Genomic DNA, 27,882 nt, shown 5'->3' with positions numbered 1-27,882 from the left:
AGGAGTGGTGGGATGGGTATTATATTTTCTATTTGAAAAAAAAATGGGTAAGAGCATCAAAGCTCAGAGACACTGATGAACTCATTGAGGGTCATCTGGCTGGCTCTGAAAGCCACACACATACTCACTATGCCATGCTGCCTCCATTTAATCCACAAAGCATTTCTTGGTCATTTTCATTCTTATCGACTTCCTCTTCCTTTGAATTGTTATATCTCCTTCTGGCTGCAACACTCTGGATTTCATTATGCTCTGTGCAAATTTAGGGAGTCCCATGTAGATTCCCTCTGTCTCCCCAGCTGTCCTTGTGCTGCAGGAGGGTAAGGGCTGCCATATCTGCCCTTCCTCACATGGAGCCAAAGTTGGACTAAAGAACATGGGGTCTGCATAGGCCTATTTTGTAGTTGCTTACACCTACACTGTGGCATGAAGTAGTGGGAAGGAGGGGGCAGGAGTTCACCAGGAGAGCCATCTCCATGGGAGGGGTGGTGCAGGGAACGTCCTGCAACAAGTAGGCTGCCCAGTGAGTCAGCCACGCCTTTGGAAGTGTTGTGGTAGTTTTGTTTACATTTGCACATGTCCCAAACAGCTAAGTAATCATAGAAGAAGTATTGCTTCCATGGAAAGGGCAAGGACAGACCTCTGTGAAAACAAACTATATACATCTTGTCAATGGAATGGCATTCTGCAAAATAGAAAAGCATGTGCTATGTGGTGGTGAGTGTTAGAACAACAAACCGTAGCCTAGTGACGCCTCCTGAGCAGCTTGTTTTTGCTTAATTACAAGTTGCTATAGCTCTTTCCCTTACTCAATTGTGAGCCTCTCTCCTAATTGTGTCTCACAGATGCATAGTGAGGAGGTTATTCAGCTTGTATTTACATCATTACCCATCTACCATCAGAGTGTATTGCTAACTGGTTCTCCTTACAAATGCTTGTTGTGTTTGTTTTGTGTTTTTAATTTTATGTTCCACTGCTTGTCTACTTTTTCATTGTTTTTAATCCAAACTTCTACTTCAGCCTCTGCTCATGAAGTCTCCCTCTCCCGAGTCCTTTGGGCTGCAATAATCAGGTAGGTTACTTTCTCTTCCAGGCATTTAAATGAGACTCACTCCTTTGAGTCCATTTTTAGAAAAGTAGGCCAAAGTCATAAAGAACATCCTTCCTGAGTGGTGACTTTCAGGCTCATCATTAATCACCTCCTTGTGAACAACTGGGAAAGTGAATCCCATGTGACTCCAGGCAGGTATCAGGCAAAATCCTCTGCTGAGTCCTGCGAGAATATAAGTAATTTTATGGAATGTGAGCAAAATAAGTTTTCCATTTTTCTAAAGTGAGATTTCTTTTTTCCTTTTAAAATCTCAATAACTTTTGATTTTATCTTCTCAATCAATCACAGGAAATGATTCTGAGGGGTTTATATAGTCAATAGAGTAAGAGTGCTCTAGTGAGTAGGGGGCATAAAGAGGTGTCCCTAGTCCAGTGGGAAGTGTTCACAGTCTTTTCTCAGAAATAAGACCTACCTGATGAGTTGGATTTATTAAACCAGCAGTCAACGGCACAGGGGAAGGCAGTGAGCCGTGTGGACTCTTCAGTTCTAAACTGCTCTTACTTAGTTGTGACCTAGCTCCATATGATGAATTTATTATCGGTTCCAGCCCATAATAAAGAGATATTCACACTACAAAAGGAGAATCTTTAGAGGGTAACCCCGGAGTTGACATGTAATTATTATTGCAGGATGTTTGAAGGTTCTGGCGGAGATTTTGACTTGCAATCATCTGAAATCATTGCTTGGTAGACTGGGCAATTATCCTGCATCTTTTAGGAATAATGAGCTTGGAAACAAGATGGACACTGCCCTTGCTTTGGCATATGGGATTTCAAACAGCAGCAGGATGGACATGCTGAGGGTGCAGCTTCTACAGGGCACGTAGCTATTAACTGATGAGCTCAACAGCCTAACCTTGCACATTGCCATCAGGAACCAGGCCTCTCATACTGAGCCACCAACAGGAGCAGCCCCCAAAGCAGCCAACACAGTTACTGAGCACAGGAGCCTGCAGGAGTTCTCACTGTGGAGATGCCTCCCTTCACAACCTGGCCTTTCCCATCCCAATCTTTTAGGCAGAAAATAGCATCTCCCAGTCCTGTATGAACAACCATGGAGCTGCTGAATGCAAGGACGGGGCACTGTAGACAAAGTCTGCCTATTTTATTGTACTTGAGAAGTCACCCCTGGAAGAAATCTTTAACTTAATTATGACCTAGGCCAAAAACTAAAAATAAGGGGAAAGAAAGGAGCTATGCCAATATGTTTTCAGCATCTAATTTGAAAATATTGCCTTACTTTCCAGCTGTGTACAGCTTAGAGCATTCATTCATTCATTCATTTGCCATGAATCAGAGCCTGTGCTAGGCTTTAGAGATAGAGATACTCACAGGCTGAAGAGGTGGGTGGGAGTAGGCTCATGCTTGATTCTACTTCCTCTTTAGGATTTTTTTTTTTTTTTTTTTTTTTTTTTTGTCGGAATCTTGTTCTCTCGCCCAGGCTAGAGCGCAATGGCGCGATCTCGGCTCACTGCAATCTCTGCCTCCCAGGTTCAAGTGATTCTCCTGCCTCAGCCTTCCGAGTAGCTGGGACTACAGGTGCCTGCCATCGCGCCCAGCGAATTTTTTGGATTTTTAGTAGCGACAAGGTTTCATCATGTTGGCCAGGATGATCTCGATCTCCTGACCTCGTGATCCGCCCGCCTCGGCCTCCCAAAGTGTTGGGATTACAGGAATGAGCCACAGCACCCGGCCCAGGAATTTCTTTAAATAACATCACTGCAGTTCCAGTTCCAGTTTCAGTTACTTTCATTTCTGGAGGTAACTGGCTAACTGAACGAGGAAATGTTATTGTTACCCTACAGACTCAAGCTGAGTGGAGACACACACTGAACAGATGACATGCCAGCCAAACTTGCCCCAAAAGTTGGGGAGGGAAATGGTGCTCAACTGAAGGCAGCTGCTCTTGGGAGAGTCTTGACAGAGACCTCTGCAGCGATAGTGCCTGGCATCAGTGATTGACGGGGAGCCATCTGATCAACTTTTGTTTCTGAAGGAAAACCCTGAGGAAACTCACTACCATCCTCAGTGGCTGGTGGATGGATAAAGAGGTGGAAAGCAAGTTGGTAAGACTGCGGATGGTCTTTCTTTTTCTCTTTCTTTTCCTTGTTTCCTCTCTCTTTTTTTCTCTTTCTTTCTTTCTTTTCTTTCTTTCTCTGTCTCTCGCTCTGTCTTTCTTTCTTTTCTTTTCTTTTTTTTGACAGAGTCTCACTCTGTTGCCCAGGCTGGAGTGCAGTGCTGCAATTCAGGCTGACTGCAACCTCTGCCTCCCGGGTTTAAGCGATTCTCCTGCCTCAGCCTCCTGAGTAGCTGGGACTATAGGCGCCCACCACCATGCCCAGCTCATGTTTGTATTTTTAGTAGAAATGAGACTTCGTCATGTTGGCCAGGCTGGTCTCAAACTCCTGACCTCAAGTGATCCCCCCGCCTCGGCCTCCCAAAGTGCTGGGATTACAGGTGTGAGTCACCGTGCCCAGCCAGATGGTCTTTCTAACCAAACAACAGGGTAGCTGCAGGTCTCAGACCTTCTGTTTCTGCTTAACTGGTTGTAAAGAATATTCATATTGGTGGAACGAGAGGAATGAGAAGGGTGGCTGTTTGCTTTCTGTGTGTGTAACAGAGATGTAGATGGTGGCTGTGTTACATGAGAGAGGCCCAGAGGGCAGGAGAGAAGGAAGTGTCCATGCTCACTATTGCAATTTAGTGTCTTAAGATTCGTATTTTGTTAATTATTTTGCTTGGTGAAAGTGACTTAACATGTTTGAGCCATAAGAAGAGACAACCAGAAATGTGATAAAGCCAAGAAAACTATAGCAAATGATACTCTTGTGACAAGTCCTCCCCATAATGCCACACTGTTTTCCTCAAATCCCCTCAAAGCACATGGCAAAAGACAAAACTCCTGTCAACAATTTCAGCTGCAAGTGAGAATGAGAGGTTGGGAAAATTTATACAATAGTATGGTTCTCTCAGTTGTATTCTTTGGTTAAAATATTGTCTTAAACTTCAACAGGCCACACTGTTTGTTTCAGTGTGGTTGAGAAAGATGAAAAATCAAAGCCATTTCCTTTTACAAAAGCTTTCTGGAGGGCTGCTGAGGGTTACTTACCTTTGGGGGTGGCCCTTTGAAGGGAGACTGAGGAAGTGTAATGGAAGGAACCATGTGAGCATTGGCCTGTCTGAGAAGTTATCCATGCTTTCCCTACAACCCCTCACCTGCAAGACGCCTCTAAGAGCTATAAAATCTTTCCCTCCCTTCTCTCCAACAGTCACAGACAGAGATTGGCACTTCCTACAAGGCAGGCTTTCCATCATGTAGTTTGTAGATTGTGTAAGTGGTTCTGAGATGTGAAATGCTCTAAATCTCATTTCCCCATCATTTTCCAAAAGTATTTTTCTAGGTGAGATTTCTATCTCATAGATGGCATTGATATCTCAATGCAAGGACAGGAGCAACTCATGCTGCCTGCTTTGACCACCCTCCCCCACACTTCATCACCATCCCTGCCTAACCCCTGGAGCAACTGTCCCTAAAGGGCCATGGTGGTGGGGCCCCTGGCCTCAGAGCCTCCCCGCGTCCCCAGGCAGCTGTGGCAGAGCCCTGAACATCACTCCTTCGGTGATCCTTGGTCTCTCCTTCTCACCTGTATGGGAAAAGAGACTTGGGCTGAGAAATGCATTCAGATTTTTTCTGGCCTGTGGACTGTTTTCTTTCTATGGTCTGAGTGTGTAGAGTGAGCAGAAACTATGAAGAGCCATGAGCAGTTCCGGGGGAGCAGCTGCGAGCATCATGGAAGGCCTCTGCCCTGTCGGAGAAGCCGGGATCCTCTTCAGCTTGGACACTACATCAGTGACACTGGCATCTCCCCCATGCCAGGTAAAGTGGGGTGGGACCACAGGGAAGGCCGCCCTCTCCCATGCCACATCCAGGAATGTGTGTTTGGTCCCTGCTGTATACAAAGGGAGATTAGGACTAGGGGATTTGAATCTTTCAATGTTCAAGAACTTTGGAGATTATTTAATCCAGTGGTTTGCAAATGTCTTTTAGCTGTCCTTTAGCTGCAAATGTCCTTTTGCTCAGGGAAAACTATTTCAGAAGCACATTTTTGCAAGCAAAGGCAGATGTGTCTGGTTGAAGCAGCAGTAGGCTTTGGAGATAGAGATACTCACAGGCTAAAGAGGTGGGTGGGAGTAGCCTCATGAATGATTCTGCTTCCTCTTTAGGATTTTCTTTAAAATAACATCACTGCAGCTTTCAGTTAAGCCCTGGACGCTGTTCACTTAGGCCTGAGCCCAGACCCTCCAGAGCCACACAGTCCAATATGGTAGCCACTCTTGTTTTATATTTTATTTAATTTTAATTAATTTAAAGTAAGATAGCTCTATGTGAGTTAAAAATCTTTTAAATTCAGTTTCTCACACACATTATACACAATTCTAGGACCCAATAGCCATAAGTGATGAGTGGTTACCCATCAGGCAGCGTGGATATCGAACATTTCCATCATTGCAGAAAGCTCTGTTGGACAGAAGTTCTGTTGAACAGCCTCACTTTAGAGTCTAGAATTTCCTTAAGGGGACCCTGGATTCTCTTGGGCTCTGGGAAACACAGTTAGAAAAGCACTGGTAGAATCTAACACCTGAACGAGAAGAGAAGTCCACAGAAGCAGCGTGGTTTGCCAGCCACGTGGCAGGTTATTGAAGAACTAGAGCTACACCTCAGCTCTCCCACTCCACCCTACTGCACTTCTGCCTGACCCCAACCCCTAACCTAACTGTTCTCTGTTGCCTCTCCAGAATTGCCGTCCACGCTAAGCCTTTTGCCCACATCTCTACTGTTTAGAGACGGAACTGAGGTCTCAGACATCTCTGAGGTTTGAGAAGGGACATTAAATTTTATACATGTGCAATCAGCTTCAGGCACTTAATAGAGACATTTAAACTCACATCAGGCCCAAGCAGATGTAGAGGGAAATACTGTCAATTAGTGAGTGGCTAATTAATCTTTCTTTGCCACATATACTCTGGCAGGGTCTAGAAAGTGCTGTTTTGCTCAGAGCTGCAGGAGCACTTGCTATGGAAACAGTGCATGATTATAATATTGATTTCTCAACTTTGTGCAGAAGCCGGCAGTGGAGGGCAGATCTTGCCAGGAGTCACCCCACAGTTAGAAAGGAAAGGGATGAGAAAGTAGAAAAATAGCTTAATTAGTGAACCAGGGCATTTTGGGTTTTCTGCTTTGCATAGAATATGCATATTTTATCCTCATAGCATCTCCCAATTTAGGTATTTAAAAGTGATTTCCTAATCACATCTTGTTATTTTTCAATCTATGTATTATCATGTTTTTTTGCAATACACAGGTGTCCAGATTAATCAGGAGACCATTGTAGATGAGGCATCGCTCTAGGACCTGGTACCTGCTTGTGCTTTGTCCAGAACTGAGCTCAGAACTTGCCCAGTTCTACCACATGTCTGAAAACTTCTTCCTTCCTGTCCACATCATTCCGTAGTTGTCTCTGAGATATGTCTATTTACAAGAAGATACTCTGAAAAGGGCCAAGTCAGAAATGACATCTTGATGTATCCAGCCAGCCAGCAGTCTCAGTAGCCACTAAAAAATTAGGTCAGTAGTTAAAAATACTTTTACAAAGAAAAGCCCAGGCTTGGATAGTTTTATAAGAATTACACCAAACATTCAAGGAATAGTTAATAGTTCATTCAAATCTTATACAAATTCTTTCAGATAATAAAAAAAGAAAAAGAAAAACTCCTTAGCAAATATGTGAGATAAATATAAACACAATATGAAATTCACATAGAGATAATTCGAGACAGGAAAAATGATTTACTCATGAACATAAATGCAAAAATCCTTTAAAAATATTGGCAAACTGAATCCAAGAATATGTGAAAAATATAACACACCATGATAAATTTGCATCATCCTATAAATGCAAAATATATTTTGTATTAAAAAATCTAGTTTAGTTCATGAAATTAACAAATTAAATAATTATTTCAATACTATTAGATAAACTTTAAACATATGTGGTCTCCTAGCTCTCCAAAGACCTCATACTAAAATAATAGTTCTTCTTAATAGAAGGAGCAAGGAATTATTGTTCCCAAATGTTTTTACACACCTCCCCGCTATGAGAGAAGTGTACTTCCTGGTTGGCTGACATCCAGCCTGGGCCATGTGACTTGCTCTGCCAGGAGTAGCAGGAAAGCAGAAATGATGTCTATTAAGTCTTGAAAGAGGCTTTAAGAGCTAATACACTCTTCTCCCACATCCCCTCCTCAAGGGTCTCACTCCTAAATAAATGTTACTTTTTCAACTTCCATCCCAGAATAAAAAAGCATGTGGAGCAGAAATGGAACAGAGTAGAGGCCAGCTCAGTTTCCATGTTATAAAACCAAATAGACATCTTTGTTGCAGTAAGCCCCCATGATCTGGATGTTGTTTGCTATCACAATATAACTTACTCTGTGATGATTGCTATTTTAAAAAGAGTACCTACCAAAAATTTGTAGCGCAAACCATACTTACTAATAAAAAATTAACCTTACTCCCTTTAAAATAAAAAACAACAGTGATGCCTTTGATTCAACATTGTGCAGTAAGATAAGGAAAAATAAAATGTAGGAATTATAAAAGGAAATACTAAGCTTTGGTTATTTGCAGGTAATATGATTGTTTATATAGAAACTCCTCAAGAATATGGACATAATTTAACAAAACAGAGCACCTAAAATACCAACAAAATCATAATACATCCAGGAATAAATCTAACAAAATTTGTGCAAGACTTCTTTGAAATTATATATGTTATTAAAATACATTAAAGTAAACGTAAATAAATGCATATATTATTTATCTATTTATTTATTTATTATTATTATTTTTTTTTGAGATGAGGTCTCACTATGTTGCCCAGGTTGGTCTCGAACTCCTGGGCTCAAGTGATCTGTTCACCTTGGCCTCCCAAAATGCTGGGATTACAAGCATGAGCCACCACACCTGGCCTTATATTTATTTTGTATACATATAATATTTGTGATAGAAGGACACAATATATTAAAAGTTTGGTCATTCTCTTCAAATTGCTCTATAAATAAAATGCAATTCCTTTCAAATTCAATCCAGAGCTGTTTGCAGAACTTGATAAGCAGATTCTAAAATTTTTATGGAAAAATGAAGCACAAGAATAGCTGAAACACCCCTGTAGAGGATGAACAGGATGAGGCGAGCTGTTTTGCCAGTTTTCATTGCCCTGTGTATATAATAAAGCTTTGATTAATTAAGAGAGCATAATATGGCACAGGAACATAGGATAGACCAGTGGATCAGCACAGAGCGTGTAGAAACAAGCCCACACATAAAATGAAATCTAGTATATAACTGGAATGTCACTGCGGATCAGTAAGAATGGGTTGCTCAATAAATGATGCTATGATCATTTGTTTTCTATATGGACAACAACAACACAAAAAAGAATACACAAAAATAAATAAAAGGGAAAAAGATTTAGATATGGAAACCACAAACTTAAGACTTTGGGGAAAAATATAGAATATTTCTATGATCTTGGAGCAGGAAAAAAATGATGAAAACAAGACCCGAAAAGCACAAATATAAATGAAAAGATAAGAAAGTTAACTGAGTTAAAATTAATAACACTTCTTAATCAAAAGATTCCTAAATGCAAAGATAAGCAAAAAGGAAAAGTCTGCCTCCCCCAAAAGCAGTGGTAAAACATAGGAATAAACACTTCACAGAAGAGTCAGCCCAAATAGCTATTAAATAAATGAAAAATGTTCAACCTTTTAAATAATGAAGATGTTGCAAGATAAAACCACAATAAGTTAAAGTTTTATACTAAAATGTTGGTAAGGATGGAGATCACTGCAAAACAAACTGTATATATATATATATATATATATATATATATATATATATATATATATATATATATGCTATGTAGCTTTCTACAACCACTCTGTATAACAATTTGGTCATAGTAAAGTAAAAATATGCATATCCTATGACCAGGAAATCTCACACACACACACACACAAAATGCACATGCTTATGTGTACACACAATCCCTAAAAATACCCTTGAACAGGGGCACCCAGAGATATGTACAAGTATATTCATAGAACCATTATGTGTGCTTAGCTACTATTACAACCATTAACACGGTTGAAGCCCGCAAACAAAAAATTAATGAAAAAGCAAGATGCAGGATACACATACTATGGTTTATATAAAGATCAAAAAATAACAAAAGTATACTGCATATGGTTGAGAATAGCCAGGGCTGACTATATAATTTTTAGGCTCAGGGCAAAATGAAAATGTGGGATCCCTTTGTTCCAAAAGCAGGGGAAAAGCTTTTATCTTTCTTTCATGGTCTATCTCTGTAGGATAATGGCCATAGTATCTTGATAATTCATAGAAAAAAAAACTATATTAACTCTAAACATTTGAAAAAGCACTCAACTTACAAAATACACAAAGAAACCATTTTTAACCCATTGGATTGACAAATAGAAAAAATTGATAACACACTCTCTTACCAAGACACTCTCAAATAGTGCTAATGGAGAAATGAAAGGACACAGCCATTTTCAATAATAATTTGTCAATATCTTTCAAAATTTCACATCAAATACTCTTTGATTCTATGGGAACTTCTCCTATATGTTTGAAATTATACATGTAAAAGGATGTTAATTGCAGCATTTTATAATTCCAAAAGATTGGAAATACCCTAACTAGCCTAAAGCAAGAGAGAGGTCATATCTGGGTCTTTGGAAGGATAATGGAATGATATGTTATGCAACCATTAAAATATTGAGGTAGGTCTGTCTGTGCTAATAAATGATCACCAACATATATTGTTGAGTGAAAAAATAAAAAGAATTCTTTGCAAAAGAATATGACTAATATGGTATCATATTTGTTGGAGAGTAAAGAGTGAGGGGAGAGACAGACAGAGAATATATATTTGTTCATATATGTGTACTATGGTTTGATGTTTGTGACTCTCCAAATTCATGCTGGAAGTCCCCAGTGCAACACTATTAAGAGGTGGGTCCTTTAGGAGATGACTTATTAAAGATTAGTGTGCCTATGAAAGTGATTGAGGGAGAGAGTTCACCCTTTTTGCCCTTCTACCATATGGGGACACAGAAGGGAGACACCCTCTTGGAAGGAGAGAGCAAGCCTTTACCGGACACTATAGCTGCCGACACTTTGGTGTTGGACTTCCCAGACTCTGGAATGGTGAGAAATAAATTTCTGTGGTTTATAAATTACCCAGTCTAAGGTATTCTGTCATAGCAACCAGAGTAGACTAAGACAACATACATCTTCTGGAATGATAGAGTAGGTAACAGTAATTGCTCTTTAGGAAGGAAACTAGGACTTTAAAAAACACTTTGCGCACTTAACATTTTAATTTGTGTGCACGCACTACTTTTTAAAAAATAATATTTTAAAAAGTGGAAGCTTACATTATGAGTTTACATTATTGCCAGTTTATTATCAATGAAAAGCTACAATATTATTTCAACTACAGATAATTATTAAGAAATAAAAGGACCCCAGTGTGCCTGCTGAACAAAGAGAGAAGGACATTTTGGAGACCATAAAACATTCTACATTGGCTTTTGATGTGTCTGAAGTGAAACATACATACTTCCCAGAGAAAGGTAGTAAAACAACCTGTAAACTTAAAGAGAAAGAAAAAAAAGCCCACAAAGCTCTTCTTTTTACATACGTTGTTTTCCTGGTAAAATATGCTAGTGATCTAATCACCTAGTATATTTTGAGTACCCACCATGTACTACACGCTGTGTTAGAGTGTGAGAAAGGGTGTCTATAAAGGAGAGTAGGGCATAGTCCCTACCCTCCGATCTAATTAGGAAGACAGGCCACACAAGAAGCACTATTGTTCTATCTCTAAAAGGTTCCATTTAGGCACGTGATCTATGACCACCTCTAACTTTATTTTAAAATTCTAATTAGCAAATAATACAAGACGATATAGTTTTAAGAGTGTTGGAGTATGGGTCTTAGTGCTGCAGAAATTTCACAACAGGGAGAGTGTGGAGACTGGAATAATGGAAAATAACCTATTCTGGTAGGGACAGCTGATATGGACAGATGGATGGGATTTGGCTTATCTGGAGGACTATCTTGCTATTGCAGTTTTTCTCCATCTTCACACTGTAAGATGTCTTTCCTCCTCTGTTTACAGCATGGCTCCTGTTACAGCCTTCCGTTGTTCAGCTCAAACAACATCGGTCTTGACAGTGGAGAGTAAATGTGAAAGTTGGAAAGTAGCAACAGGCATAAATAAATATGCAGGCTTATCGTCATTTTATATTTATTTTGGAACCCTTAGTAAAGAAGGCTTGCATGGGCCTCTTTTCGTTCAGTAAGTTGAAAAGTAAAAACAGTCAGGTAGACAGACCTGACTTAATGTTGATCATCCCCATCGCTTATGAGCTGTGTAAACTTGGGCAAGTCATTGGGCTACAGCTTACTAACCAAAAAGTAGGGAAAATAACCACTGTGTAGTGTTATTATGAAGATTACATGAGACAAAGGTAAAGAATATATATTAGATACCTAATAAATCAAAGCCATTCACTTTTATTATTGTTCCAAATCCAAGTTGCTTCTTTCTTCCCCAGGTCATTAGGTCCGGGTCTTAGATTCCCCTATCAGGATCTCCTCATCCATAGATCAGCACACGGCCCTAGGCCTGCCTAACATCTCTTAAGGTTAATCCTTTCATTTTCAACTTACATTAATAATAATACTAATAATTACAACTACTCTTTATTGATTACCTCCTATCAGCCAGGCACTATGTGCTAATCAGCCTGCATAAATTAATACAATAAAACCCTTCTGCTATGAGTTTCTTAAAACATTTAACTCACCATTTATGCTTTCTTTATCATAGACAGCAAAACTGAAAAGTAATTTGTTCTAAATCACCTTATAATAAAAAAAAATCCAAAATTATTTTATATGTCTAGCTGGGCATTGTACAAAAGAAATTGGCAAAATATAATTCCTGTCACTAAAATTTACTACTTGAGGAAGGCAAATCAATATCTTATACACTGAGGATAGACCTATAATTATGATCTGCAACAGCCAGAATCAATCTTGCAGAGATGTCAAAAAAGAAAAGAAAAAGACAGAATATGTAAAATTTCCATTAACAGAAATCTAACTAATTATACAGTAAAATAAAACTCCCTTTCTCATCTTCTCTTCATTTTCTAGTCTCTATTCTTAGAACGAAACACACACACACACACACACACACACACACACACACACACACACGCAAAACAAAAAAACAAAGGATAACAAAACTTCTCGTCAGGGATGTAGACGATGTTGTTGATGCTGTTTGAATTCTGGGGATGTGCTGATGGGTGGCTGTCTTAGGGGGATAGTGACTGACAGAAAGTTGCCAACAGACAGAGGCAAAGAATACACATTCCTTTCCTTTAAAGGATTCAAGCAAGAACTTTGCCGCAATAAGAGTGGAGCACAGGGCGGGAGGTCCGGCAGCAAGCTGATGTTTGAAGACGTGGTCTCCTTAGCCCCACATTTCCCATACCAGGGAATGAACGGCAGAGGATACCACCACATGAGGCTGACCATTTGCTCAGTGTCCTTCCAGACTGTATCTGGGTCCTCCTGGGTTCGGGGGGGAAGCAGGCTTTGGGGAGGTGTCTTTTTACCTGTGCGGCACTTCTTTACAGTTTCAAGAGAGGGAAGTAGAAATTTTTGCTATGAGTCCACTGCTTCTGGTGGACTTAATAGTTTGCTACACAGAGCAAACTATTATTCGACTGTATGAGAATAAGAATGCATTTTGCCCTAGGGATAATTATATGCTTCTTTCATCTGCTTAAGAGCTAGTATGAGTCAGTCCTGCTCATTGCTGGGTAGAGGATACAAACTGTATTGAAGTAGTCAATCCAGGAGTCTCTGAGGTCTGGCCACCCCAAATAGGATCACACTTCCATTCTGCTTGAAGTCCAGTTCTCACTGCTAAACTTAGCAACATTCAAGACTGAAAGATACAGTTGAACAGGTTATGCACTGCACAATTCTAGGGGACCTGCTGTTTTATTATGGCCCTGGATTCTTCTCAGACTCCTATTCTTCTGCCTACCCTGTGATTGCTTAATTCCATCTCAACAGGTTAGGATATGTGTTAGTCCGTTCTCACGCTGCTGGTAAAGACATACTCAAGACTGGGTAATTTATAAATAAAAAGAGGTTTAATGGACTTACAGTTTCACATCGTTGGGGAGGCCTCACAATCATGGCGGAAGGCAAAAGGCATGTCTTATGTGGCAGGAGGTAAGAGAGAGAATGAGAACCAAGCAAAAAGGGTTTCTCCTTATAAAACCATCATGTCTCGTTAGACTTATTCACTACCATGAGAACAGTATGGGGGAAATCACCCCCATGATTCAATTATCTCCCACTGGGTCCCTCCCACAACACACAGGAATTATGGGAGCTACAATTCAAGATGAGATTTGGGTGGGGACACAACCAAACCATATCAGGATAATAATCAAAAGCACTGTAAGATCTCAGTGATCAAACGTGAGTAAGACCTATTCCCTATTTTCTACTTTATTCAGGTAGAAAATAGATAAACACAATAAATACCATGTTCTAGGATCTTAAAACAAGATGTGAAAGAAAAAGTATCTCTGCTTTACAAAAAAAAATTGATTCCACAAATTCAATTTATTTGGGGTTTTGCATTTTACAATTTTAATATCCTATTGTAATCACTGCAAAGGAAAATAGACTCTGTCTCTTGCCTGTCTCCTCACTTCATCATCCTTTCCACACTGGAAAATTTTTTTATGAGGTTTTCTTTCAGCAAGAGTTGGCTCAATTTTAAGTATGTGAATCAAGAACCTGTTAGCCTAAAGTGAATTGTGGTTTGGGAGGTTAATTTGTAATTCATGTCTCTCTCCTGATAATGCAGGAAGGTATGAATAAAGATTATACAGGGCACACACAGTATTAATACATTTTAAGCAAAAATGCAGATTGCATTGAATTAAGAGGGATTCAGCTATGCCTCTCTCAGGCTGGGATTATTACCCTTTCCTCAGATTGCTATTAGATTAGCTAGTCTAATGTCCCTGATTCCAAAATACAAGTGGTAATTAATCTCATACCCATTTATTTGAAAACCTACAGCAAAAGCAGAGGTTAAAGCCTTACGCATTTCATGAAAGACTAATATTGAATTAGAATTACATTATTTACTACAACACTCTGGTGTGAGCAGCAAAATTTCCATGTGGGGCTACAGTTCTTTTTTCTCAGATTTCTCAAGTTCAGATAACACAATCTATTTTATCTCAGTGTCTCTCACCAACTCTTTCCCCATTGAGAGTATATTAAACAGACTTCTCATCCAGGGAAGGAAAAGGTTCAAGGACTGAACACCTTGAGTGGGAGGAAATAACAATTGAACCAATTAGCCCTTTTATAACCTCCCTCTAGTTTGAAGACAGGTTTTGTTCTGACTTCTTTATACTGAGAAATTTTTTATACATGGTAATCATTATTCTATAATTACATTAAATGCCAGCTTCTGTGATCTCTCTTGAACCCCATAAAGCTGTAAAGCAATCCACCTAGGCCATGATGAACTTTCTAAATTAGACACAATATACTGATTTAATGTGAATATAGCTAAAGCTCAGTGGGGGTGGCTGATCATATTTGGTTATAAATGTTAACAAATGAGCAAAGAAGGCTTTAGTAACTGCTCTTTCTCTTTTTCATACACACACACACACACACACACACACCCCTTTCACTAGCTAAATTGCTCTCAAGTATAATTTTCAAAATGATGAAAATCATGACTCATATCAATTGAACACAAGTCAAAAATTTTGTTTATCTCTTTATTTAAAGGGTAAACCAATAAGATGTTAATGGAGAGTTTGAAGAATTCAAAGACCGAGCAATCAGAGATATTTAAATGTATTTGCTAATAAACGCAAAGCTGGTTAATAAGCTCAAAGGTAATAAAATGTAATGTTTGGCATAATCTTTCCACAGGCCAGAAATCATGTATATCCTTACCAGACAAAATCCATTTACATTGCTAAGAATAAGAATTATATACACTTCTCTCATTTTCTACAACTTAATTCCACCTCGACAGAGCTCAAAAATAGCCCAGTCAAAAGAAACCAACCAAAGGGTGCAACCTCTATAGATTCCAATGTCCAGCATTCCCAGAGTGAAGACAGTAAACCAAAACTAAAATCCTAAGCCCTCCCCAACTGATCAAATGGACACCCTCTTGGTCAAGAGGACCCCGGAGAAACCTGAGAAATGGAATTCCTGATCATGATGGGAAGGGAGGTTAGACACGCCCTGTTATGCCCTCTTCCTTTTGGAGTTTAGGAAGAACTGACCAGCATTAACATTAAAATAGAGATTATAAGACTGGCAAAACAGACTCTTTGTGGCAATAAGATACCAAATTCCAACCTGACTATGGTAGAGCACCACATGACAGATAGTAGGCCCTGAAGGAAATCAAAATATTTTACCCCATATATATTTCTTTGACATATGTTGAAATGGCCCTGTAAAGCCATCTTTTGTGGGGGAAATTTGCATCTGTAGAGAATCTTCATTAATATAGTCAAGGCTTTCCCAGACCTGGGAGAGATTTGCTAAGAGTCTGGCACCTTTTACCACTGAAAAGTAAGTATTTACCATTTATTCTTTCTGAAGGCTGTTACCTGGATGCTTCATCTACATAACAAGAATCTTGGCTTCCACAATCCCTCCTCATCTTAACTCAAGCATTTCTTTGTATTGACTTCAAGTCTTCAAACAAAGCTTAACTCTTTCAACCAATTACCAATCAGAAAATCTTTGAATCTGCCTATGATCTGGGAGCTCCACCTGCTTCAAAATATCCCACTTCTTTAGGCTGAACCAATGTATACCTTTCATGTATTGGTTTATGATGTTACCTACAATTCCTGTCCCCTAAAATGTATAAAACCAGCCTGTAACCTGACTACCTCAGGCACACTTTCTCAGTACCTCTTGAGACTATTCCCCAGGCCATAGTCACTCACATTGGCTCAGAATAAACCTCTTTAAATATTTTACAGAATTTTTTTATTTTGCTTTTTCCCCCTTGTCAACAACACTTAGCTATCTCTTTTGCCCATTTCTAAGAAGGATCATTTTTCTGGCAGTCAGCTAAAGCCAACTAGTCATATTGTGATTTCAGAGGAAGAGAAAAAGTAGTTGGAGGAAAAATCAGGTGGATCAAATCCACACGTGCCTGGGCTAAGTAAAGCAAAGACTGAAATTCAGGAACATTCAGAATCCTACAAATTTAGAGCTAGATAGGGCTTTAGAGATCACCTAAGACTTTCAGTTTACAGAAAATAAGTCTTAGACTGCCTTCTTGGCAATCGAAAGAGGATGTTAAACCACTGCTCAGGGTCCTTAGGCTTCTGGAGTCTGCCTCAGGAAACTTATTGCCTCCTTGGTATAAAGAATTTCCTTTTTCCTTCCTCATTCACACTCTGTGCTACCTATGAAATGTTTCATCTTTTATTGAGGAATAATCAGAATCACAATGCACAGAAAATGTATCATTTATTAGGTTAATATATCTCTTTTTAACCATGAATGCACACTCTAAAATTTTTCTTAGAGAGGAGTAGGATATTTAAAATGGTTTTTAAAGTAAACATTTTTGTATTTCAAATAAATGACATGGAATAGTATGGAAAAAATAGCTTTATAGGTGGGTAATAGGATTCAAACATCAAACTATGTCTTTGACCAGAGAGAGGAATAACCTCTACACCTTGGTGCCCCCACTCCCAAGTTCAGGTCCTAGATCTTTGGAACAATTTTGTTGGGTTGGCAATCCAGCATTTGTCTATATCCTAAACAGAGAAACTAGTCCCCAAAACTGTCATATAATTGAAAAGAACAAAATGCTCAGGAAAAATAAAACATCTCATTTTCATTTCTGTTTTATCTTTTATTTCCAAAAGGAGTGCTCTTTAAAATTTATCTTTTCCCACATATTTTTATGTATAACTCACTCAGATCTGGGGATCTGGGGTAGTGTCTATATTACCAACTCCTGCACATTCAATAATGATTAAACACAGAATCGTGTAGCTCTGTGTCATTATATGTATGTTATGTAATTGGTAGATTAAAGATATTTATTAATTAAAATTATATTGATGCCAGTAGGAACAAGCAGCTTCTCAAAATTTATAGCTCATAAAAAGTCAAATTCTGATTACTATAATTATTTCTTTCAAAATGTAAAGTACACGAATTATTCACATAAATGAGTGAAAAACAGAAAAAAGCAGCGGAAAATGAACCTTATTTTTCATCTTGACATTGTCTTCAAGTCTTAGGCTAAATTGCTATTATTTCATTTTGTGAAATTGAGCTCACGTCTGTCAATACTTTAGAGGTGTGAATAGAATGAACAAAGCTGAGTGGTCACCCCAAATTCAATTTGGAAACTTCATGAGGAGAAATATTTATGTAAATATAGAGTTCTGAAGGAGCTGATGTTTGTTTCTTGGGTATTTTGAGCGTTTCTTTCTGAACACCTCTCATTATGTCTACATCCGTTGCTCCCACCACCCTCATCCACAATAATTATTACGAAGAACAAAGAACTGAAGCCTGCCTTCCTGTCACAGCATTCACCATCTTAATACCTTGCTTTTAGAGAGGGATTTTCATTTGCACAGCACTTTCCATAAGGTTCTGTCCTTGGAGCTTCACAGCTAGCCTCCCTGGGAGATAAGGTAGGTATTGCCAACTCCCTACAGGGGAGCTGAGCTGTTCAGGGACTGCACAAGGCCACATTTCCAGGAAATAATAGAGCTGGAAGTTCAGCCCATGTCTTCTCATTTCAAATCTTACATCCTTATCAGAAATTGTCATTGAAAATGATTAAATTGTGAATAAATATTTGTGACTGTTAGCATTCTCTAGCCTTGGTTTTTATGATAAGTTCCAGGGATCAATACTTGCTAGCTATAGGCTCACCACAGAAAACAGTGCAGTTGTTTTACCCCTAAAATGCAGTAAAGCATGCACACAAAAAATGGAATAATTCTTAATGGAGAAGATATTCCACCCCACTAGGGATAGATAACCCATTCATTGCCACAGAAATGCAGTTTGTTCCAAATTTAGTTAGTAAATTCAAATAATTTCTTTCAACTGCTAAGGAAAACTCAACTAAGCAAGACCATAAAGCCATGTTTTTTGCCTGAGAAGAAAAGAGCCCGATTAAAAGAAAACGAAAATATAAAGGGGAACACAAAATGTGAACTTACATTGTTCAAATATTGGCACTATCAGAGGTTAGATTCATAAGAGAGGAAACCTTAGCGTACTAGGAAAGCAACACAACGTTTCTTCTTCTCCATTACATCTGAGGTAATAAGAAACGCTGATCCTGAGACATCAGACCGACAATCACCCACAAATTGCTCTTGACTACCCAGCAGGGACAAAATAATATTAATTTTATAATACAGCAAGTAAATGTCTTCCTTAGGAAACAAAGTAAGGTTCTAGGGACAACCCTCTTCTGTTGCTTTTACTTCTAAAGGTAGCAATCCTGTTCATCTGAAAGGTACATGGACAAACAATCTAATTACCTTCTGGGTACTCCAACTCCAGAAGTAGCCACTTGTGACTCAAACCCAGAATTAAAATAAGTTTTCTGGCTTTTACAGCTGCTGTTTCCAGAGTATGTCTTTTGCCCTTATGTGAAACATCAAAGCACATTGCTTGCCATACAGTGCTTTGAATGAAAATACCATTAAATGATTATGTTTCAATGTCAGAATTATGACTTTATATTTTAATTTTCATTTTTTTCTCAGTTCTTTGCTTCATCTTGAGGATATTGTGTTTGTTAGGCTCTTTCAGATGCAAAAAATAGAAACGGGTGCGGGTTCCTTTAGTTAAGGGAATACGAAGAAAAGTATGAAAAACAGGATGCTCTCTCCAAAGCACAGAGTTAGGGGTCACAGAGAATTGCGGCACTGTTCATAGCATGCGGCCTACGACACCAGCTCTGATAGTTTGTCAATAGCTTAAGGGCATAAACAGATTTTTTTTTTTCTGGGCCAAGCTTATGTTTCAGTTCCTGCGCTGCTTTTTATCCAACTGCTTCTTTTTGCTACTTTTATATCAACTTTCTTCTTCTCTTCCCCTTCTACTCTTCATGCTTCCTACTCTTCATACTTTCTGCTTTCTCAGGGCTCTGGTGCTTCACAGCCTCTGCACACTGTCTTCATGTTTTGTCTCTCCAAGCCTGAGTCACTCTGCACCCTGCTGACTTCATAGGTGTTTCATTCAAACTCCCCTGAAAAGACCCTGTCCAAGCCTGCTAGCTCTTATGCATATGGCAAGTTGTTGTGCAAAGCTGTTGTGCCAGGCACCCGGAGGGTCCCCCTCAGCCAGCTCACAGATGGTAGAGACCTAGCCCTGGTCTAGTCTGCTGAGGCAAAAGGAGCAAGGACATAGAATAAAACATGGTGACCCATATTAAAGGAGACACTCAGAAGAGAGGCTAGGGTGGGTACATTACTTGGACATCTCAGAAGAGACTGGTGAGATCTACAGGTAAGAATGTCCTCTCGAATATTCTTCTATCCCAAATTGTATTACTTCAAGATTTTGATGAAGATAGAGATGAGGCCAAGGCAATCTTATGTGATAATTCTGAATGTGATTTTTCACCTAAATATGAACTAACCCCTAAAAGAGGAAAAAGTCTCAGAAGGTTGACTCCCTGCAATAAGAAAAAGTTGGCATTCCAGGGAAAAGGCAAATAGTTATTACTTTTGTAATGTGCTGCATGATGAAGCAAGTATTCAGTTCAACCAGCAATTAATCAGGTTGCCAACAATCTGCAGTACCCCTTTAAGATGGCATGATATAGCCACAGACTAGGGCCATTGTGTACACACTAAGGCCAAGCTATAAATTCATCTCAGACACATGTTTTCAAGCATTCCTTCATACCTATACTCACATTCACTAAGGTTACCAGTTTCAATAAAAAATGGATCTATTAATAAAAATTGATCAGAAATATACCTATATGAAATGGGACATATACCAATCACTATAATCAAATATCACTTTATATGTTACATTAAGTTGTAAAGCTTTTTTTTTTTTTTGAGACAGTCTCACTCTGTCACCCAGGCTGGAGTGTAGTAGCGCAATCTCAGCCCACTGCAAACTCTGCCTCCCTGGTTCAAGCGATGCTCTTGCCTCAGCCTCCTGAGTAGGTGGGACTACAGGCCCGTGCCACCACACCCAGCTAATATAGTAGAGATGGAGTTTGCCCATGTTGGCCAGGCTGGTCTCAAACTCCTGACCTCAAGCAATCCGCCTGCTTCAGACTCCCAAAGTGCTGAGATTATGGATGTGAGCCACCTGGCCCAGCCAAGCTGTATAGCTTTTTACATTTTAAAAATTTTCCCCAAACTCATCTTTGACTTCTAAATTAGGAAAATGTATATATATTTTTAAAAGTGAAGGTCACATCTTACTGAATGTATACTTTAGCCTGTTGTGTTCCTTGATCCATAGATTACTCATGACTCTAACTTTGTTTTCCCTACGCAGTCCTTTAACATTGAAGTTGAAAAAAAAAATTGACCTGGTTTCTAAAAATGTATAGTAGCAATTTCTTTGCTGGGGGGAAAAAAAGAACAAAAACATTTCTACCTAACAATAGGTATTGTTCTCTTATGGGAAGTAAAACGTCATGTCCAAAGCATCAATTCCCTTATTTAAAAATGGAGAAAATTCTTCATTCCTGATGACAACATTTAAATTAAATTATTTCATCAAAATCAGGTGATTTCTCAAAGCACTCAGAGCACAATATCTGACTTTGCAAAAGGAAATCACCTCACTATATATTTGTAGGCTCTTGGGTCAATATAATGAAAAGTAATTGTATTGAATACCAGAATTCTAAAATAATTGTTTAAAAATAGAAATACGACTTATATCCCCCCAAATTTATTACCATTTCCCTCAGGAATTTAGAATCCATTTATATTTTTCAAGTCTTAATAACCAAAAATAATTTTTTAAAGATCACTAGAAGATACTGGGAAGATGAAAGTTAGATAAAATACTGCTTATATCATGAGTTTATAAAAAGATGTTCGATACTATTCAGCACTTCTGCACTGCCAGGCTGGTAGACAATGCTACTTGGAAATCAGACCTATAGTTATCAATTGCAACGGGTTAAATGGTGGCTCCTCCAAAAGATATGCACATTATCTAAAACTTCAAGCTTGTAAATGGTACCTTATTTGGAAACAGTGGTCTTTGCAGACATAATTAAGTTAATCATCTCCAGATGAGATCTTTCTACATTATCCAAGTGGGCCTTAAAGCCAATGAGACGTGTCCTTATAAGAGAAGAAGGAAGATACAGAGAGAAGAGAAGGCCGTGTGAAGACAAAGTCAGAGATGAGGGTGATGCTGCCACAAGCCAAGAAATGCTGACAGTCACCAGAAGCCGGAAGAGGCAAGGAAGGATTGTCCCCTAGAGTCTCTGGAGACTGTGGCCCTGCTAGTGACTTGATTTTGGACTTCTAGCCTCCAGAACTGTGAGAGAATACATGTCTGTTGCTTTAAGCCACTCAGTTTGTGGTCATTTGATGTAGCAGCCACAGGAAGCTAATACACCAACCCTTCTGCACAGACTGGAGGCCTGTTTTGAGGCACTAGAAACCCTAGAATGTAGTACCCAGGGAGCAAATTAAAGATGAGTACATTGCACAGGACTACCGTATGTGAAAATACCCATGCACAGCTCATATCACAACAGCAAAATAGAAAATCTATATTATCAGAAACAGTCCTTGCCTACATCAGAACCTTATATAGAGGACACATCATACAAATCAAACTCTTAGAGACAAACAAGAAGCAGTTTAGATTAGAAGTTTCTGAAACCACATTCCCACGAAGAATAAATCCAAAACTTTTCAGCACAGCAGACTTCCAAATCATTCATTCTACAATTCAAGGAACTTTTTATGAATGGTTATTTTGTCCAGGTAGGGTGCTGGGTGCTGGAAATACAAAGTGAATGATATATAATGTAGGCACCCCAAGAGTGTATCATCTACTGGCATAGACAGACAAGTAAATTACAATGTAATGCAATTACAATACAATGTGGTAAGTAGATATTAAATTTGTTATAGAAGCACATGGCAGGACATCTAAACCAGACCTGGTTGTGGAAGGCATTTTAGAGGAAGTGACATTTGAGTACAGTTTTTTTTTAAAGCAGAATTATGACTTGAGGATAGGTAATGATATTCCAACACGAGTAGGAATATCCTCAGATGGGATGTGCCGACCAACCTTAAAATGGCCATGTATGTTCCCATCATGGTAAGTCCCCAAAAAGGGTTCTGACATCAGAGATAGTATCAATGTGATTCTCTGCATTGTTTAGACAGTAGAATAAAGTATACTTTAGAGACTGCTCCTGCTCTAACACTTTTTCACTTCCGGGATCCCAGAGTTCCTATAAAAGAGCTAGTGCTGTTTAGTTTTAGTGACTCAATTCCATTGTACTTATTGACCACCTATCAAGTGAAGTTTTGACCATGCTTAGCTGTTGGTAGTTTATTTGCTATTACTATTACTATTATTTACTAGAATTACTTAGGTAAATAAGACCCAGTCCATCCTTGTAGAAAGCTTAGAATATTGTAAGCATGAAGGTGAAAATATTGCTTTAGACTCATAAACCAAGCATGAAATGCTACAGATCGTCACAGAAGGAAAAGATTATATCTAACAGAAAAGAATCAAAGACAGCAGGATGAAGTAGATGGCCTTTGTAAAGGACCTTGAATAATGGCTAGGATGATGAAAGATGTTGGAAGTAATGTCTTTTTATGGCACTATGTTTTATATTTAGTTTCACGTTTGCTAATTCTTTATTAAGATCCAACTTGCCTTTTATAAACTTTTTTGTAGAATTAATCTTACACACTCCTCAGCTTTAGTCATTTGGTATAATGACATTTGGCCTGTGAATAGGCAATCATTCATTGGCTGCGAAGTGAGACAGAAAGCAAAAACTTCTGCCAGAAAGAAATCTTCTCTCTATGATCCAAGGAGTCTATCACCAGTTCTTAAAGTTCCAGCATCAAAGACATTGCTTTGATTTATATCAGCATAGTATGTCCCCTTTTCCATTTCTAATAGTTACACTTTTTATTTGTTATGTCTCTGATTTTTCTTGATCAGTCTTATCAGAAATTTGGCTATTATATTAATCTTTCCAGAGAACTGTTTTTGTTTTGCTGATCTTCTCCATTTGTTTTCTGTTTTAAATCATTTGTGCTGTTATTTGAAAATAATTTTTATTGTATTTCCTTTGGTTTTATTCTTTTATAACGTGACTTCTTGATATGAGCACCTAGCTCATTTAGTTTCTGCTTTTCCTTTTCTGCTACCAGCATTGTCTGTACGTATTCCTTTAAACATTACTTTTTCTTCCTCCTGGAAGATTTTGCTATCATTTAGATATAAGTATTTTCAAATTTCATTTCCTAATACACATGGTTATTTAAAAGCGTTTGTCAAGAACAGTGAAGGGTCTGAGATTTCATCCTACTTACAAGCTTATGAGCTAGTCTGCTAGAATGCTAGATGCTGGCAAAAGCCATGAGACGCCTGGGTCAGAGACAAAGGAGGGCTTATTATTCACAGCAGTAATTGTATCCAGAATATCTGCAATTGAGCCAGTTCCCTGAACCCCAATTCTCTTAGGCCAATACAAAAAGGGCCAGGTGATGCCTCCATATGCAGTGGGTTACATTACAGCCGTGGAACCCTGAGCTTAGAAAACCCAAATATTTTGTATTGGGCTGCTGAATCTTTGCCTCAAAGAAAGGCATTTTCCTTATTTTATTGTGCCATAATATAAACAACTTGGCCTTTGCTCTGGAGGGAGACGCTATATTTTCCAAGGCTGTTTTTCACTATGCAAATATCCATGAAAAGATATTCCAGAAGAAAGGCAGTCAGTGCCTATGCTCTCAAGACACAAAGAAACAAAAGAGACCCATAGAGAATTGTCTCCCAATATCAAGTTTTAGAATTTCCAAATTATAAAGTTTTAAGTTTTTGTCATTGCTCTTGATTTTTAAAATCTAATTAAAAATCATCATGATCATGATTGTAATTCTTTGAAATTTGATGAGAATTGCTTTATGACCTAGTATATGGATAATATTTAGAATTTTTCCGCATATATTCGGAAAGAATGTTTACGATCAATTTATGGACTTCAAATTCCAATCTGTGATGTATTAGGTCAAATATTTTTTTAAAATATCTTTACTAATTTTTTGTCTGCTTAATTCCTGGTTTATATCCAAGCATTGTGTGTCTTATTTAGGTGTTTGTCTGGTGATGGGCTACATATGGGTTTTTGAAATTACAAGCAGATAATCTCTGTTGTGTAACTGGTGAGGTTAGTATGCTTCTGATTGTTTGACCAATTTCTACCGTTTTATCCTGTGCTATGTGCTCTGAATTGTCTGTGCTCCTCCACTTTCTTTACTTTTTCTTCCTTTGTTCCCTCTTTGGATTGATTAGGGTTTTGTTACGCTTCTTTACACTGGTCACAAGTTACGCAATATAGGTCTATTTTCTTAATGGAATAATTTTAAATTTTAATGTGTATATTTTACTTTTTAAGAGTTTCAAGTTAAGCAATTTGTCTACCCTCTTCTAGGACAATACATGGAATTGGGACACTTTAAATCAAATCATCTTTTTCCACATCTTGCATGTTATTTTTCTGTGGTGTTTTTGTTCTACCTTGCAATTTTGTACTTTTTGTACCTTTGTACAACAAACTGGACTGTATTATTTATTTTTATATAGTCAGCATTTCTTGACTTACCTACATGTTTACCTCTTTATTTTCTCAATATTTCCTCTTACATCTGCCTTTGGGGGTGGGGGGAGTGGTTTTCTTTTCCTTGAAATATGTCTTTTAGATGTCCATTTAGCAAAAGTCTACGGGAAGTAACTTGTACTTTTTTGTTTAAAAATATCTTTATTTTGCCCTCATGTCTGAATGAAAATTTAATATGGTAAGTATTTGGTTGACAATCATTTAATTTATCTATGAAGATTTTGTGAAGCCTGCATAGAGGGTGGGTCTCTCCAGAAAGGGTTAAAGTGGTCACAAGGTCCTATCAACCCAGCACCCCTTGAACTAGGTATCTTGGCTTGGGATCTTGTAGGTAATACGAATTTGAATCCCAGATCTATCTGAGGGAAAGCCTTTATTACTAATGTCCAATGAAGCCTTCCCCACCACCCCCCCGCATCTAGAGCCTAGGTGGATCATTTTCTAGTACGTGCCTTCATCAAGATTATAACCCTTTCAGGTTCCCAGCTGGATGTGGAGTGTCACTCCCAGCTACTCACATTGCATGGGCCTAGGTCTTGTCTCCTGTCCTTCATGTCGCTCTTAAGTATCTTGACAGCAAGGTCCACTAATGCCCACAGTGCTCTTACAGTTTTGCTTTTGTTTACCCCTCTGCTTGCACAGTTTATTTTTCAACTTGTCCATGAGGAATTTCCCTTCCATTTTTGTGAGCTTAGATCTATATTTAAAAGGATATTTCTATTAAGGAAAATCATGTGACTAGCCAATGGAGTAAGAAAGTCAGTGATGCGTGAAGCTTGCAAGTCCTGCTCTTAAAGAAAAGGAGAATTCCGAGTTCCCTCTGCTAACTCTTTTCCATCCTTCCCACTAGCTGGAATGCCGATAGGGTAGGGAGCCATTTTGATGAGACCAACAGACCAATAATGAGAACACTCTAGGGATATCACAGCAACAAGGCAGAAGGAGCCTGGGCTCCTGACAGCTTCACAGAGCAGAGCTGCAGCTCCAGTTTTGGCTTTTGGACTAGAAATAAATTTCTGATTGTTTAACCACTGTTACTGAAAGTCACTGTCATACTAGTTAATACTATATAATAATATAGCAGGTTTTTAATATGGAAAAGTTAAGAAAGAACATAAGTATAACCAGAGATGATTATGGTGTAGTGAGGAGGTGTCCAGAAAGAAGATTTTAGGGATCTTCAAGCTGTCCTCTGGCTGTTCCACAGTTTTTTTTCAAGGGCTAGCCTTGCTGTTTGCAGAAATGTTTGTCTAACAGAATGCACTAGTGTGAATTTGTGATCCTTTATATATTTGCATTTGCAGAGTTTATACTCATAGGCTCTCTATTTTTCCTTAGCAAATATCCACATTTAATTAGCTTCCCCAGAGGGAATTATGTAGTCATAATTACTGCCTCATATTCTGAAGAGGAAGGTGTGGGTGCCTGAAAGGCATGACATTAAAATGTTTTCTCCAGAAGGTGTACTTTTTTCATCTAAAGTAAAACTCTTTCCAAAAGATACGTTTGCTATTAAGTATCAGCACTTCTTTAAATAATATAAATTAAAGACTGGTAGAAAGAAATATAAACAATTACGCGTGCCCATTCCGAGAACCATCCTAGTTTACTCTTATGCAGCACTGGCTAATCTAGCTTTTGTATCTTCACAGAATTAAGGAAATGGAGATGAGTTGTAATAAATACAGTGACTCATGACATTCATTTATCAATAAATTGGTTTTTATTCAGCAATAACAAGTTACTAAATGAGCTAGGTTCTGAGGAGAGAGCAAAACTTTTTAAGACACAATCTCTGTTTTGAGATATTTATAGTATTTCTATACTATACACAATCTCTGTTTTGAGAAATACTATACACAATCTCTGTTTTGAGATATTTTAGTTACAATATGTAACTAAAACATGATCTTAAATAAATACAACATAGATAAAAAATGACAAATGTCAGAAAGGAATGGATGAGTGCTCTGTGAGTTCACTGCTCAGCGTTGCCCTATCCCTCTGATTATAACAGCACTTGCTTCTTGGTATAATTTTTAGCCAGATCTAAGGTCTTCAGGGTCCTTAGATCTTAGATCTTCAGGATACTTAGCGCTTGGTTCAGCTCTCTTGAATGTCTTCCCTTTTCCTAACACTGAAAAGAAAAAGCCTTTCTTTTATTTCAAAAACAACAACACAAAGTTGGAACAGCTTAAACCATCACTTGTGGTGGCTTTCGAAATGAATAAGCCATGAATACTGCTTCTGAGTTATCATAACCACTAGGAGCTACAAACAAACAAAAACCTGAATCAATAGTTAACGTCACAGTGAAATAACGTCTCGTTTCTTCTTTCTAGAGGGAACTGCACAAGACACTTCATTCTCTTTAATCTGCTCTACCCCGTCATATACCATTGTTTATGATGCTAACAATTATGATGGTGCAATAGCACACTCAGTGACTCATCAGCTCCCGCCTTCCAGAGGCACTCAGCTCTCACATACGCGGTGAGTAATGGCTCATAGAGACGTTGCTTAATATCTGTAATCAGTTTTAGTCTGATGCAATTCTCAAAATGCATCCTTCTTTTCCAATAAATGATAAATTATAAGGCTATTGTCTGGCAAAGAGAGTCATTTTTCCCAGCCAAAGATTTATTTCCCAACCAAGCTGCTT

The 27,882-nt window shown here is 38.4% G+C and overlaps 1 protein-coding gene across 6 annotated transcripts in view, besides 2 other annotated features; it reads left to right on the top strand.

The window, feature by feature from the left end:
- The first annotated feature begins 807 nt into the window (after positions 1-807).
- Positions 808-27,882, top strand: part of LOC124903164 (uncharacterized) — a 34,284-nt gene continuing 7,209 nt past the window's right edge. Inside the window, exons 1-4 of one of the 6 annotated variants that reach the window (XR_007063769.1) lie at positions 808-1,072; positions 2,916-3,176; positions 4,844-4,987; positions 27,563-27,713. Coding sequence is in view for 1 of the 6 variants with exons in the window: in XM_047430822.1 (XP_047286778.1) it covers positions 4,858-4,987; positions 27,563-27,713 (281 nt within the window). In the remaining 5 variants the exon portion in view is untranslated. Of the gene's footprint in view, positions 1,073-2,915; positions 3,177-3,522; positions 9,010-15,946; positions 16,333-27,562; positions 27,714-27,882 lie in introns of those variants that run through there. The other 5 variants (XR_007063771.1, XR_007063770.1, XR_007063767.1 and 2 more) reach the window with 5 other exon arrangements.
- Positions 15,737-16,367: an enhancer, noted in NCBI's record as "OCT4-NANOG hESC enhancer chr13:43306033-43306663 (GRCh37/hg19 assembly coordinates)". NCBI's record gives its function as "activates a minimal SCP1, AML or CMV promoter by ChIP-STARR-seq in naive and primed H9 embryonic stem cells {active_cell/tissue: H9 hESC(naive and primed)}" and the evidence as "EXISTENCE:reporter gene assay evidence [ECO:0000049][PMID:30033119]".
- Positions 27,583-27,632: an enhancer, noted in NCBI's record as "active region_7654". NCBI's record gives its function as "activates an Ori minimal core promoter by ATAC-STARR-seq in GM12878 lymphoblastoid cells {active_cell/tissue: GM12878}" and the evidence as "EXISTENCE:reporter gene assay evidence [ECO:0000049][PMID:35858748]".

This window comes from Homo sapiens, chromosome 13 (assembly GCF_000001405.40).
Source record: "Homo sapiens chromosome 13, GRCh38.p14 Primary Assembly".
Classification (NCBI taxonomy): Eukaryota; Metazoa; Chordata; class Mammalia; order Primates; family Hominidae; genus Homo; species Homo sapiens.
This window is presented reverse-complemented; position numbering and strand designations above follow the sequence as displayed.